This window comes from Homo sapiens, chromosome 16, assembly GCF_000001405.40.
Source record: "Homo sapiens chromosome 16, GRCh38.p14 Primary Assembly".
NCBI classification, from domain to species: domain Eukaryota; kingdom Metazoa; phylum Chordata; class Mammalia; order Primates; family Hominidae; genus Homo; species Homo sapiens.
Genome location: NC_000016.10, coordinates 23,495,324 through 23,508,959, shown reverse-complemented (window position 1 = coordinate 23,508,959; position 13,636 = coordinate 23,495,324). Strand labels below are relative to the sequence as shown.

At 48.3% G+C, this 13,636-nt stretch overlaps 1 protein-coding gene and 1 pseudogene across 3 annotated transcripts in view, besides 3 other annotated features; one reads left to right on the top strand and one right to left on the bottom strand.

The window, feature by feature from the left end:
• GGA2 (golgi associated, gamma adaptin ear containing, ARF binding protein 2) overlaps positions 1–13,636 on the top strand; it is a 60,818-nt gene that overhangs the window by 15,400 nt on the left and 31,782 nt on the right. For all 3 annotated transcript variants that reach the window (XM_047433801.1, NM_015044.4, XM_047433802.1), the window contains one exon: positions 13,182–13,266. In XM_047433801.1, the coding sequence (XP_047289757.1) occupies positions 13,182–13,266 (85 nt within the window). The remainder of the gene's footprint in view (positions 1–13,181; positions 13,267–13,636) is intronic.
• Positions 3,501–4,000: an enhancer, noted in NCBI's record as "H3K4me1 hESC enhancer chr16:23516281-23516780 (GRCh37/hg19 assembly coordinates)". NCBI's record gives its function as "activates a minimal SCP1, AML or CMV promoter by ChIP-STARR-seq in naive H9 embryonic stem cells {active_cell/tissue: H9 hESC(naive)}" and the evidence as "EXISTENCE:reporter gene assay evidence [ECO:0000049][PMID:30033119]".
• Positions 4,001–4,502: an enhancer, noted in NCBI's record as "H3K4me1 hESC enhancer chr16:23515779-23516280 (GRCh37/hg19 assembly coordinates)". NCBI's record gives its function as "activates a minimal SCP1, AML or CMV promoter by ChIP-STARR-seq in naive H9 embryonic stem cells {active_cell/tissue: H9 hESC(naive)}" and the evidence as "EXISTENCE:reporter gene assay evidence [ECO:0000049][PMID:30033119]".
• Positions 7,295–8,121, bottom strand: CCNYL7 (cyclin Y like 7 (pseudogene); annotated as a pseudogene).
• Positions 7,808–8,470: an enhancer, noted in NCBI's record as "H3K27ac-H3K4me1 hESC enhancer chr16:23511811-23512473 (GRCh37/hg19 assembly coordinates)". NCBI's record gives its function as "activates a minimal SCP1, AML or CMV promoter by ChIP-STARR-seq in primed H9 embryonic stem cells {active_cell/tissue: H9 hESC(primed)}" and the evidence as "EXISTENCE:reporter gene assay evidence [ECO:0000049][PMID:30033119]".

The window sequence follows — 13,636 nt, the reverse complement described above, 5'->3', positions numbered from 1 at the left end:
TCGGTGCCTTGGAATGCAGACAGGGGACAAGGAGAAATCTAGGCTAGATCGCGGGTTTCAGGCTCGAGGAACTGGTGGGTTACAGATGCCTCCCCTGTGAGGAGGAGCTGGTTTAGGCAGAGAAGGTTGAGATGTGGAGTTTGAGGTGCTTGTGGCATAGTCAAAAAAGAGATGCCCTCTAGGCAGCTGGTTGGCACTGGAGAGGGCAAGTGTGGGACGTACGGTTTGGGAGTCTGGTTCATTGGCAGTGAGCTTGCGGGAGAAGCTTGCGTATATTAAGAGCAGAGGTTTGGAAAGAGAGCGTGGGGAGCCCCAGCATTGAAGAGGCAGATGGGAAGAGAAGACTGAAGGCTGAGCAGAAACAGGCAGGGGGAGACCTGCAGGGGCACCCACTGATAGCAAAGGAGGGATGTGGTTGTAACGTAGTTTTGCTCCTTAAAGATGGAGGAGAATGAGGAAGGAGAAGAGAGAACTTTGAATTTGGTAACCAACCAGTTATTTAATGAGACATCCTTGAGTTAAACAGTAGAGACAGAAGGTAGTAGTTTTAGGAGGCAATGGAGAACAGAAGGCTTAGACTGGAGTTGCAAAAATTAGAAAAAAAGGCTGTTCATGCCTGTAATCGCAGCACTTTGGGAGGCTGAGGTGGGCCAATCCTTTGAGGCCAGGAGTTTAAGACCAGCCTGGCCAACATGGTGAAACCCCGTCTCTACTAAAATACAAAAAATAGCCATGTGTGGTGGCGCACACCTGTAATTCCAGCTACTTGGGAGGCCGAGGTGGGAGGATCACTTGAACCCTTGGGGCAGAGGTTGTGGAGGTGGAGCCAAGATTGCACCGCTGCACTCCAGCCTAGGTGACAAGGCGAGATTCTGTCTCAAAAAAAAAAAAAAAAAGTAGCCGGAGTAAGAGAAAGTAGCTGCCTCAGGTGGAGGAGATAAAAGGAGTGCCTGGAACTGAGGCTGCCCAAGGACACAGTTCTTCAACTCCAGCTTTTTTTGAAACAGAGTCTCACTGTGTCACCCAGGCTGGAGTGCAGCGGCATGATCTCAGCTCACTGCAGCTTACCCCTCTCCTGGGCTCAAGCATTTTTCCCACATCAGCCTCCCCAGTTCTAGCTTTTTTTAAATGTATTTTTATTTATTTATTTATTTATTTTTGAGATGGAGTCTTGCTCTGTTGCCCAGGCTGGAGTGCAGTGGTGCCATCTCGGCTCTCTGCAACCTCTGCCTCCTTGGTTCAAGCAATTCTCCTGCCTCAGCCTCCCAAGTAGCTGGGATTACGGGCACACGCCACCACAACCGGCTAATTTGTGTGTGTGAGAGAGAGAGAGAGAGATGGAGTTTCATTCTTGTCCAGGCTGGAGTACAGTGGCACGATCTCAGCTCACTGCAACGTCCGCCTCCCAGGTTCAAGCAATTCTCCTGCCTCAGCCTCCCAAGTAGCTGGGATTACAGGCATTAGCCACCATGTCTGGCTAATTTTTGTATTTTTAGTAGCGATAGGGTTTCACCATGTTTGTCAGGCTGGTCTCAAACTCCTGACCTCAAGTTATCTGCCAGTCTTGGCCTCCCGAAGTGCTGGGATTATAGGCATGAGCCTGGCCTAATTTGTGTTTTATTATTATGGTTTTTTTCATGGCATATACATTGTATTAAGCTCCAGCTTTTGGGGGCAGTGTCCCAAAGTTGCTAGATCTTCCTGTTTTTCAGGAACGGCTAGAACCTATATTCTTAAGTGAAATATCGTGGGTTTTCAGAAGTTGGTGCCTACTTTGGCCCATAATTTGGGGAAGGCCAGGCAGAATAAATGTGTGGGGAGGGTGCAGCCAGTGGCCTCCTCAGCTGTTTTTCATGAGTCTTGAATGTAGAAGGAGGGGGAGAGAATAGCGAGAGGGAATTTAGGAGTAAAGGAGATTATTAGAAGGAGAGGGGGACATGTGAGCCCCTCTTCATGTTGATGTTCCATTGGGGAACTGCCCCTCCCCCATTCTGGGTCCAGTGTCCCATCCATTGCAGAGGGGCCTGAAGGTGCTGAAGGAGCTCAGAGCCAGAGCAAAAAGGGGGACCTGGCCTCACAGAGAGGAAGGACACCTTTTGTTTTTCTGACTGTCTGGCGAAGGAGATCAAGATGATTGCACATGCAAACAAGTTCGTCAGTGCCACCATTGCCACCTGAGTATTGGGTGCTCAAGTGGAACAGGGGACTTGAGGAAGGTGGGGAAGCGTTGGGGAGTGGCTGGTGAGGCAAACCGAAGTGGGCCCACCCGGACGGAGAGCTGGGTTTCTCAACCTTTGCACGAGTGACATCTTGGGCCCGATAATTCTGTGTTGTGGGGGCTGACCTGTGCACTGTAGGATGTTTAGTGGCATCCCTGGGCTAAATCCACTGGATACCAAAGCTCACACCCTTCCTCCCAGTCATAACAGCCAAAAATGTCACCAGATACTGCCATGTTTCCCCAGGGTTGAGTGGGATGGGATCACTCCTACCCATCTCCCCGCTGAGTTCCTGAGTGAGGACTGCAGAATGCTGACTGGACATCAGGAATGTGGGTTGCAGTCTTCATGGCTGTATTTGTTGTTGTTTTCTTCTGGGAGTAGGAGCAGAGAAGATGAAGTGAACGATGGGTTAAGTCAGATTTGTTGGGGATGGTGGGCCATTGGTGCTGCAATGGAGGGATAAGGGGGTCGTGGGATTGATAGTATGGCCAAGACATGGGTGTAGTTGAAGGCAAAAGCTCATGGGTCTGAGCTACATGAAGTCACCAGGGGGTGGTGTCTGAGGACTGGCCAAGATCAGGTCCCTGCAAACAAGGCAGCTGTATCTTTAAGATGGGAAGAGAGTAATAAAACCTCTTCTTAGGGTTGTTGAGAGAATCAAAGGCTTTAATACACAGAAAGCACTTAAAATAGTGCCTTACTATGCTTGTAGTAAGTGCCCAAGAAGCGCTAGCTATTATTATCATTAGGCTTTTATAGCTGCAAGTAATTGAAACTAACTCATACCCATACCCGCTTACCAAAAAAAGGAAAGTAAAGAAAGTCCCAGAGTAGGGGTAGGCTCAGTCCAGGAGCTCCACGGTTCACTTCTTTGATTGAATTTTCTCTGCTTTGCTCTTCTCCCTACTGCAATCTCAGCAGAATTTCTTTTCCCCATTGATTTGCAAGAGTTATTGTTCTTCCGCCTGTTGGCTTGGGTTTTATGTCCACCTTGGAGTCAGCATGACCTGGGGTCATGAAATATGAAGATGGCCAGACCTGGGGTGGGGTGGGGTGGGGGACAGTACCCAACCCAGAGCCAAAGGTGGGGAGGGTGAATGGGGGACCTGGAATTGAGGAGAGGGGTTGTTCCCAGAGGAGTATCAGGAAGCCGTTACCAGAATCTCATGCCTTAAAAGTACAAACGGCAGCGCCTGTGCATTCTGTCATTCAGTTCTGTGGTGTTTTTTTCCACTTCATGTATTTTGGTCATTATTCCACATGACTGCAGATGTAGCCGCCTTGTTCTTTTAAATGAAAAGCCTTAGACGCCCCGTTGTATGGGTGTCCTAGGATCCATTTAACCGGGTCCCTGTTGGTAGACATCTTAGGTGTTGCTAGCCTTGCGCTATTAAAAACAGCACTCAGTCCTCTTGGGCTCTAGAATTCTAGCTCTGGTAGCGCTACCAGGGAGGCCATGGCTTAGTAAAAGTTGGGTGCTCAGTAAATCTGTTTCTTCCTTCCACTTGGTCCTACTCCCAGGTGATGAGTAGGACATTCCCATGCTGAGTCTTGGAGGTTTTCACATGTGCTGAATTGTATGATTGCCGGACTCTTGGGGTCCACGTGTCCCTCCCAGGGAAGGAGTCCCCCTGCAGCGTGGACTGCTGAAGGATTGCATTCTGCTCCTCGGGGTGACCACTTCCTCACAGTCTTGGGGCTCCCCTTGCTAGCACAGGCGGCTGCTGGTGCCAGGGTCATGACCCCGGTGGTTGGTTGGCAGCTGACGTGGGATGGTTTGGCTTCTGAATTAGTCACTCTTGGATGAGCCATTTCACTCACAGCCGGAGGTCTCAGCTGTTTTCTTAACACCTCTGGCCCTGTAGCACGCTTGAAATGAATCATACAAACACTGCTTTTAGTGAGGAAATACATGGCAGCAGTGCTATTTCTCAGCACCCCTCTGTCCTGCTCAAGTGCCAGCTATAAATAAACCACCTTGGAGTCTGGGATAGCCCAAAACAGAGAAGGCATCCTTTGAATTTCTCCCTGGCCGTGCCCTGTCTGGCCCCTAGCTAGTCCTTGGAGCAGATTGGTGTCAAACAGACCTACGGCGGTTGCTGTGGCCTGGTCAGACCCAGCTGCTGGCCCCCTGGGGGTCATTTTTTGGAGCTGCTCAAGTCTTCTGAAATAGTTTGTGCAGGCTGGGATTATGTGTTTAGGGGCCCAGTTATTTCAGAACTGAGATAGCCATCTCTCCGTGTTATCAGTATGTCCAGCCAGCTGGCCAAACACTGTCTAGCAAAAGAGGAATCGTTCATTCAGTAGATACCTGCCAGCAACTCTTCTAGGTACTAGAGCCTGTGAGAGTGAATGAGACAGGCCTGCTTTTTGCCTTCAAGGAGTTTATGAGCACGAAGATCAAGCTGGCTTCCAAGAGAGGCCCTAACTTTGTCAAGGAACTGAAGACCTCACCGCAAGAGTGGTTAGAAACACATCCAGGCTGTGGAGCTGGGCCAGCCTATGACTTAATTTTTGTTTCTGCCACTCCCTTGCTTTGTGGTTGGGTAGGTTTCTTCATCTGTAAAATGGTGTAGATGATCGTGCCAACCTGGATTGTTCTGAGGACATCTGGCATGGTATCTGACCCATAGTAGGTACTTTTTTTTTTTTTTTTGAGACGGAGTTTCACTCTTATTACCCAGGCTGGAGTGCAATGGCACGATCTTGGCTCACCGCAACCTCCGTCTCCCGGGTTCAAGCAATTCTCCTGCTTTAGCCTCTCAAGTAGCTGGGACTGCAGGCATGCAGCACCATACCTGGCTAATTTTGTATTTTTAGTAGAGACGGGGTTTCTCCATGTTGGTCAGGCTGGTCTTGAACTCCCAACCTCAGGTGATCCGCCCACCTTGGCCTCCCAAAATGCTGGGATTACAGGCATGAGCCACTACACCCGGCCCCATATTAGGTACTTTTAAAAATGACGGTTACTGTTACTTTTGAGCCATGATAAATCTTTTTTCCCCCCATAGGAAAATCCGTTTTCCTTTTATTCAGTATGCAGTGGAGCTAAAGTGCAGGGCACGAAGTATTTTACACAACATTTTAAGTTCTTGTGTATAGGTTTTCATGGAAATTTAAAAATTTAACAATGATGGGATAATAGATAATAAACTCATCGTAAGTACATTATCACTAGGTTTCAGCAATTCTTATTTTGCCATTTATTTTCAACTATCAATCCAAATATCCTAGTAGTGTTTTAAATCAAATATAAGATATAATATCATTAATTTTGGAAACATTTAAGTAACTATATCTTACAAGTAAAGATAAAAAAGAAAATATCATTATTACAACTAATACAATTTTTAATATATAAAATAGATCAATTTGTGTATTCACCAAAGAGTAGACTCTACAACCACTGAAGGCTTTGCATGAAATGTTTTAACATGTTTCATCTAATATTTCATCTTCAGACACAAAAAATCAATACATGAAAATATTCAATTACGTATAAAGGGCTATAGACTATGGTTGGAGGAGGAAATCGCAAATCGACAGTGGGATATTCCAAACCACTGTATTGTGAAAGCAAACACAAGAAAGAAAATAGGGATTCCTATTGTTCCCGATAAAAGGAAAGGAAAGGTAACTCCCAGAGAGCCACTCCCTCACTTTGCCATATTCAAATGTTCTGAACAAGGCACAGGTCTGGCCATACCCAAGGAAAGATGAGGATTCAGGGTGTAACAAAAGACAGCAGAGATCATGGGGCGTCTTAGGATTCTGCCCCCAATATCCACCCTTCCACAAAAACTTAATCTGACATCTCACATTGGTGGGGATCTGGTGTTCTTGTAAGAAAAAAAGAAAGTCTCAGAAAGTGTTTCCCTTGTAGACTCTGGGGCAGTTGATCCTCAGCACTTTCTATTTTGGAAGCCAGAAAATTCCTTTTTGACTGAGAAGGGGTGCAGTCCTGTGCACCATAGGATTCCCATTGTTGACTGCATGTCAGTGGGAGCCACCAGCTATTACAACCAGAAATGTCTGGGCAAACTTCCTCAGGATGCAGAAGCTGCTCCCGTGAGAACCGCTGCTCCTCTCCATATGTGAACAGACTGACAGATGCAGGCAGCACCAGCAATCTCTTTAACCACTGAGGTGCACTGGAAAATGTGAGTTGCAGTGTGTCCCTGTGTTAGAATTATTAAGAGGCTTTTGTTGACAATTGCTGAGACCATACAATGCACCACAGCAAGATTAGCTGGGTAAATGATCTTCTGATAAAGGTTTGAACCCAGATGTTCCTCTTTTGTTGTTTTCCTGGAAGTGGGTAAATTCAGTTTTCACTTCGGTAGCTCCCCTAACAATCCCAAGACCAGGTCTTTTACTGCTTCCCTAGGTGGCATGACCATTATCGGCCTGGGGTAAGATGAACTGATTTCATCTCTTCCTTTATAATCATGACGTAGGGGCCTCATTTCACATGCACAGATTCCCTCCAAAGAGTAGATGAGCAGGCCTGGGCCACCCTGGTGCTTGGAGTAATGACAGCCTTGCCCCGATGCCACTCTCTCTTCCCACCATTGTTGAGTTTTGGGCCATCATGCATTCAGTGCCTCAGTGGGCAGAGAACCATACCCAGGTGCTCTCACAAATCTGGAGCCAATTCTAAAGTTTTTTGGACTCCAGCTCAGCTCAGACCACTGTCACATGCTAGGGACTGTGGGTGACTGTGGACATCACTGGCACCTGCTTGAGACTGTGGGTGATTGTGGACTCTGAGCAGGGATGTGCTGTGTCCATGTGACACTCCTTCTCCCCAAGAGTTGTTCAAGAAGGTGGTGCCCTAGGAATGCCATCTGGACCCAGTGGAACAAGAAGGGCAGAAAGCACCTGGCACCCACTGTTCATACCACCATCACCCAGTTCCTTCAAGTGGCTAACTTGAAGATGTTTCCTCTCGATGAAAATCCTAAACAACAAAAAAAGAAAATCCTAATTTTGTTGTTTCTTTCAGCAGAAGTGATATTTTCTAGTCTTTACAGTTGAGAAGTTTAGGATCTTATAATGTTAATTTCTCTCTTTAAGATGGCATTAGTGCACCGAATACCAATGAAATTCATGCTGACAGCCCTTTATAGCAGCGGCATGTTGATGCAAGTCTTTGTATTCACACGGCCATGACACAGCCTCCAGTTTCTGTGCTTTATCTTTGTGAGGAAAACTAAATAGAAAATACAGGTCACGGTCATTTGCCAAGGCACACAGGTCGAAGTAATATCTTGCATAAACACTGGCAGACACATGAATATTAAACTCAAGTAGCTCCAAAAAACACTTCTCCATCTTGCTCATGTTCTCAACTGCAATGTCCTTGGGATTCTGGCTGTCATCCACACTCCACAGACCATGATTTCTCCAAACCTTGGAGGCAAGAAGCATGGCTCCAAGGACAATCTTTTTCCAATTAGTAGGACACAGAGCGATGCTACCATTAGTTAAAAGTCGTTCGATGTACACCAAAGCTACGATTGCACATGGAGCTGTAGTTTTATGACTTGAAAAAGAGTACAGAAATGTCTGAAAGTACAGTTGTGTTTGGGATCATGCTCGAAGGATTTCCCTGGAACCTTCTCTTGTGAAAGTGGGTGTATTGGCTTGTCAAAAATAGCCAGAGATCTATTTGCGTATCTGTGCTTTATGTTGTAATATATTGCCCAAGTCACACTTTCTAATGTGTGTCAAAGATCAGGCTGGCTGACTGTTCTGTTATCTAGCAATATGGTGTAACACGAGGTGTATTTTCTATCAAGATGCCATGGTATATATAATATAGGTGAGAGCTCCTCTTTTCTTGCACACTCATTTGATATTTTCTCAAAAAAAGCGTACTTTCCCTTGGATGGTCAGAAGCAAAATATTTGGGCATCTCCTGGTCACTGATGTGCTGCAGGTCATGGCCCTTGCGGGCTCCTAAATCCGACTGGGCAGGCTCCACAGCAGTGGGGTGTGGCGCTACTGCCACCTCCGCCTGCGTGATGTTATAGCTGCAGGGCGGTTCCACCCGCCACACCCTGCACTGGCTTTGCTTGGGGCTGGCATTGGGGAGCAGTATGTTCCATCTGCGACGCCTCTGCTCCTCTCTGCCTTGGCCTGCACCTTTGCTTGACGCTGCCTCATAGATGTCAGCACTGCAGGACAGCTCCCCAGGCCCCGCACACTGCCCCGCTTGGGGCTGGCATTGGGCAACAGCGTGTTCCATCTGCTGTGCCTCCACTCCTCTCTGCCTTGGCCTGCACCTCTGCTTGCCACCGCCTCATAGATGTCAGAGCCACAGTACAGCTCCGCAGACCCCCCTGGGCCGACCCTACCTGGGGCTGGCATTGGTGCTCAAGCAACAGCTCAGCATGTTCCCCGTGAGGCAGCTCGGCTCCTGGCTCCTCTCCGGTAGCTTGGGCCTTCCCTTGCTTCCAAGTCTGCAGAGCTCAGCACTTATACCTCTTCCCAGCAAAGGCACGCTGGCAGGGCCAGCCCTTGGCTGTGGGGCTGCTCCCCACTAGCAGCCCGCACCCCACCTCAGCTGCCTCCCCTGAGCTGCCTTGTCTACAAGGGTCCCTTGGGAACCTGTTTGGTTTCCTTAGAATGGGTCTAGATACAACAAGCCTGAGAGCTGTGATTGCGGAGAAGAGAGCACAGAGGGAGCTCCTCTTCCTTCCACTGCTTCCCACCAACTGAAGGAGGTTGCCCTGCCAACCACCAGAGCTCTCTCCTGGTTCCCAGGAACCAATCTGGCCCAGAGTCCCCTCCACATGCCCTGTTCCCATCGTGATGCGGGAGCCTAGGCACGTGGTTCACCAGGCCCCGCCCTGCCAGCGGCCCCACCCCTACCTTTCATTCATTGCTGGCTGCTGGGAGCTTTCAGGTTTCTACACTGTGAGGAAGGTCTTATGGTTTCAACAAATGAAGAGGCTTATGTAAAAGAAAACTGAGCCGGGCACAGTGGCTCACATCTGTAATCCTAACACTTTGGGGGGCCGAGGCGGGCGGATCACGAGGTCAGGAGATCGAGACCATCCTGGCTAACATGGTGAAACCCCGTCCCTACTCGGGATCTTCCCGCCTCGGCCTCTCAAAGTTCTGGGATTACCAATAAATCTTGATTGAGTCCTCATGATACAAGCTCTAGCAAATAAGAAAGAAACCTCCTTACATTTTGTGGATTGTATTGCTGCTTGGCCTTGGTTAAGGGTTTGGAACGTAATTTAACCTCAGAGAGGTTTTTTCTTTCTTAAAGAAAGCTGGTGCCGGCCGGGTGTGGTAGCTCACACCTGTAATCCCACTACTTTGGGAGGCTGAGGTGGACGGATCACGAGGTCAGTAGTTCGAGACTAGCCTGGCCAATATAGTGAAACCCCATCTCTACTGAAAATACAAAAAATTAGCCAGTCATGTTGGTGGGCACCTGTGATCCTAGCTACTCTAGAGGCTGAGGCCGGAGAATCGCTTGAACCCGGGAGGCGGAGGTTGCAGCGAGCCGAGATTGTGCCGCTGCACACCAGCCCGGGTGACAGAGCGAGACTCCATATCAAAAAAAAAAAAAAAAAGGTGGTGCCCGTCAGTGCTGTGTCTCTTTCACTTGGCAGCCAGGGAGGAGTGAGAAGGCTCTGGATTCTGTGAGGGGAGCTTGGGCCATGCCTCCTGTTCTCTGCCTCTCCTGTTCTCTCCCTGCCTCCCCCTGTTCTCTTCCTGCCTCTGCTCTTCTCTCCCTCCAGGTCCAGTCACATGCTGAAGTCAGAATTCTTTTGAGGTGTCAACCTTGACCTTGTAGTGAACTGAAACAGAAGCTTAAATGGTGTAGACTTTAGGTGATTCAGACACATAATCGCTGAGAATCACTGCTTTAAATAATTTATTTGATGAGTTTCTATGTTGTACGTATGGGTAAGGCACTGTAGGGAAGATATGGCTTCTGCCCTTAAGGTTTCATTCTCTTTAGGTAGGACAAGACATGTCTACATATTACAGTAAAAGCCAGAGACTGTACGTAATAATAAACAATTATCCTTTGTAGACCTCTTACTGCATGCTGCTGTACTAAGCATTTTAGACCCTTCCCCTTTAAATCACATGACAGTCCCATGAGGAAGGTACTATTTTCCTTGTTTTATTTTTTGTAAACATATTTGTAGAGATGGGGCCTCACTATGTTGCCCAGGCTTGTCACGAAGTCCTGGGTTCAGGCGATCCTCCTACCTTGGCCTCCAAAGTGCTGGGATTACAGGCATGAGACACTGTGCCCAGACTGTTTTTATTATTATTTTTGAGACGGGGTCTCATTTTGTCCCCCCAGGCTGGAGTGCAGTTGCACAATCATAGCTCACTGTAGCCTCCACCTCCTGGGCTCAAGTGATGCTCCTGAGTAGCTAGGACTGCAGGTGTGTGCCACCATGCCTGGCTTTTTTTTTTTTTGGAGACAGAGTCTCACCTTGTCACCCAGGCTGGAGTGCAGTGTCACGATCTCAGCTCACTGCAACCTCTGCCTCCCGGGTTCAAGCGATTCTCCTGCCTCACCCTACTGAGTAGCTGGGATTATAGATGCACGCTGCCACGCCCAGCTAATTATTTGTATTTTGGTAGAGACGGGATTTCACCGTGTTGCCCAGGCTGGCCTCCAACTCCTGAGTTCAGGCAATCCACCCTCCTCGGCCTCCCAAAGTGCTAGGATTAAGGCATGAGCCACTGCGCCCAGCCTTCTGACTAATTTTTTTTAAAAATTTCTGTGGAGATTGGGTCTCGTTATGTTGCTCAGGCTGGTCTCAACCTCCTAGGCTCAAGCGGTCCTCCTGCCTTGGCTTCCCAGAGTGCTGGGATCATAGGCATGAGCTGCAGCACCTGGCCCTATTTTCTTTATTTTATAGTTGAGGAAACTGAGGCTCAGCGAGTCCAAGTACATGTGACTAATGGGTGTAGCTGGAGATCCCTATCGGAGAAGGGGCAGATAAAATATCTGTTCAGAGGAGGAGGAGACAGCTTTTGTTTTATGGGGACGGGAGATAAAAAGGTCAGAGAAGTCTTTAGGGTGGAATGTGACTTGGGACTCAAGGGTAGATAGGATTTTAAGATACGGAACATGGGAGAGAGCTTTGCGGGGGTGGGGAGGAGAATATAGGAATCAATCACTGATCCTTCCCTCGCCCTTGTGTTCTCTCTTCACTTAGAATGGAGTCAGTGGGCAGGAAGATGGTGATTACCTGTCCGTTGACCCTCCCTATCTAGACACATGACTTCCACGTGACATAAATGTGACTGCAGTCAGGAAAAATTCAACTCGGACTGTGCTGTGTTGAGTAATCAGAGGGAGAAGCAGTGGGGTTGGCGCAGCGGGAGGAAGTTTTCTGCAGGAGCTGGAAATTCAGATGGGTCTGGAAGAATATGGATAGGGCACTGAGAGGAACAGAGTGGACACTCGGGCCAGGAGGATAATAATGTCAGAAGTACTGCCCCGAGAAGCAACGCCTCATTTCCAGAGCCTAAAAGAGCTGCTCTGTCAGAACCAGTACGGTTTCTCATCAGAGAGGCTGGGCAGGCCAGGACCAGATGGCCAGAGGGGAGTTGGAAGGGTGGTTGTTTTTTTTTTTTGTTTTTGAGGCAGGATCTTGCTCTCCCACCCAGGTTGGAGTGCAGTGGCATGATCTTGGCTCACTGCAGCCGCAGTCTTTCCACTTCAGCTTCCTGAGTAGCTGTGACTACAGTCACATGCCACCACGCCCAGCTAATTTTTTTTTTTTTTTTTTAGATGGAGTCTCGCTCTGTTGCCCAGGCTGAGTACAGTGGTGCCATCTCAGCTCACTGCAACCTCCACCTCCTGGGTTCAGGCAATTTTCCTGCCTTAGCCACCTGAGTAGCTGGGATTACAGGAACACTCCACCACGCCCAGCTAATTTTTTGTATTTTTAGTAGACACAGGGTTTCACCATGTTGGCAAGGCTGGTCTCAAACTCCTGAACTCAAGTGATCTACCTGCCTCGGCTTCCCAAAGTGCTGGGATTACAGGCGTGAGCCATCGCGCCTGGTCTTAATTTTTTAAAATTTTAGTAGGCATGTGATTTCCCCATGTTGCCCATGCTGGTCTCAAACTCCTGGGCTCAAGCGATGCACCTCAGCCCCATGAAGTGCTGGGATTACAGGTGTGAGCCACCATGCTGCCACTGGAAGTTTTATGAACGGTCAAGATGGTATTCCTTCTGGTGGTGTGTTCTTGTCTTCCTGTCACACAGCTGAGACACTTCCAGGTGGCCTCTCTTCTGTCTCCGCTTGTCACAGGCCAGGTGGGGGCATCCCAACTCGAGTGTGAAGCCAACACCCGGGCCAACCTCTGCACTAAAAGTGGAGCCGCTTTCAGGGGAATAACTTGTCAGTTAATTTTTTTTTTTTTTTTTTTTTTTTTGAGACAGAGTCTCCCTCTGTCTCCTGGGCTGGAGTGCAGTGGCGCAATCTTGGCTCACTGCAACCTCCACCTCCCAAGTTCAAGCGATTCTCCTGCCTCAGCCTCCCAAGTAGCTGGGATTACAGGCATGGATCACCATGCCTGGCTAATTTTTTTGTATTTTTAGTAGAGATGGGGTTTCATCATGTTGGTCAGGCTAGTCTCAAACTTCTGACCTCAAATGATTCCCCCCACCTCGGCCTCCCAAAATGCCGGGATTACAGGCATGAGCCACTGTGCCCAGCCAGCTTGTTAATTTGCTGGTTCATTCAATCAGCAAATATTCAGTAAGGGCATACCATGTGCCCAATGCTGTGCTGGGTGGTGGTAGGCAGCGCAGGCACAATTCCTCTCCTTCCAGCTGTCTGCCCACTGGTCTGATCCTGTAGATCTGTGATAAGACAGCTCTTGGCCACCATGTGTATGGGGAGGGGTGTAAATTTCTTCCTATTATGTACTCTCTAACTTTATTATTTATTTGACAGACAAAGCCACAGACCCAAGCATGTCGGAACAGGATTGGTCAGCTATCCAGAATTTCTGTGAGCAGGTGAACACTGACCCCAATGGGTAAGGTAACTTCTCACACACATAGTTGACTCTGGGGGCACCCCACACTGAGTGTAGGCCTTTGTCTCTCAAGACTGTTTTAGGGTTAAGCTCTCTAGGCAAGGATCGGTGGCTCATGCCTATAATCCCAACAGTTTGGGAGACCAAGGCAGGAGGATTGCTTGAGCCCAGGAGTTTGAGACCTGCCTGGGTGACAGAGTGAGAGACTCTGTCTCAAAAAAATAGAAATGCAGTCAGGCTGGCATTCATTCTCTCATTTTCCCCTATAATCCTGAGAACATTATTTTTCTAAAATTAGCAAATTCATGTGGGGGAAAAAAAACACAGGATAGCTCACTTGCAACTGGCAGTTATTAATTTTAAATACTGT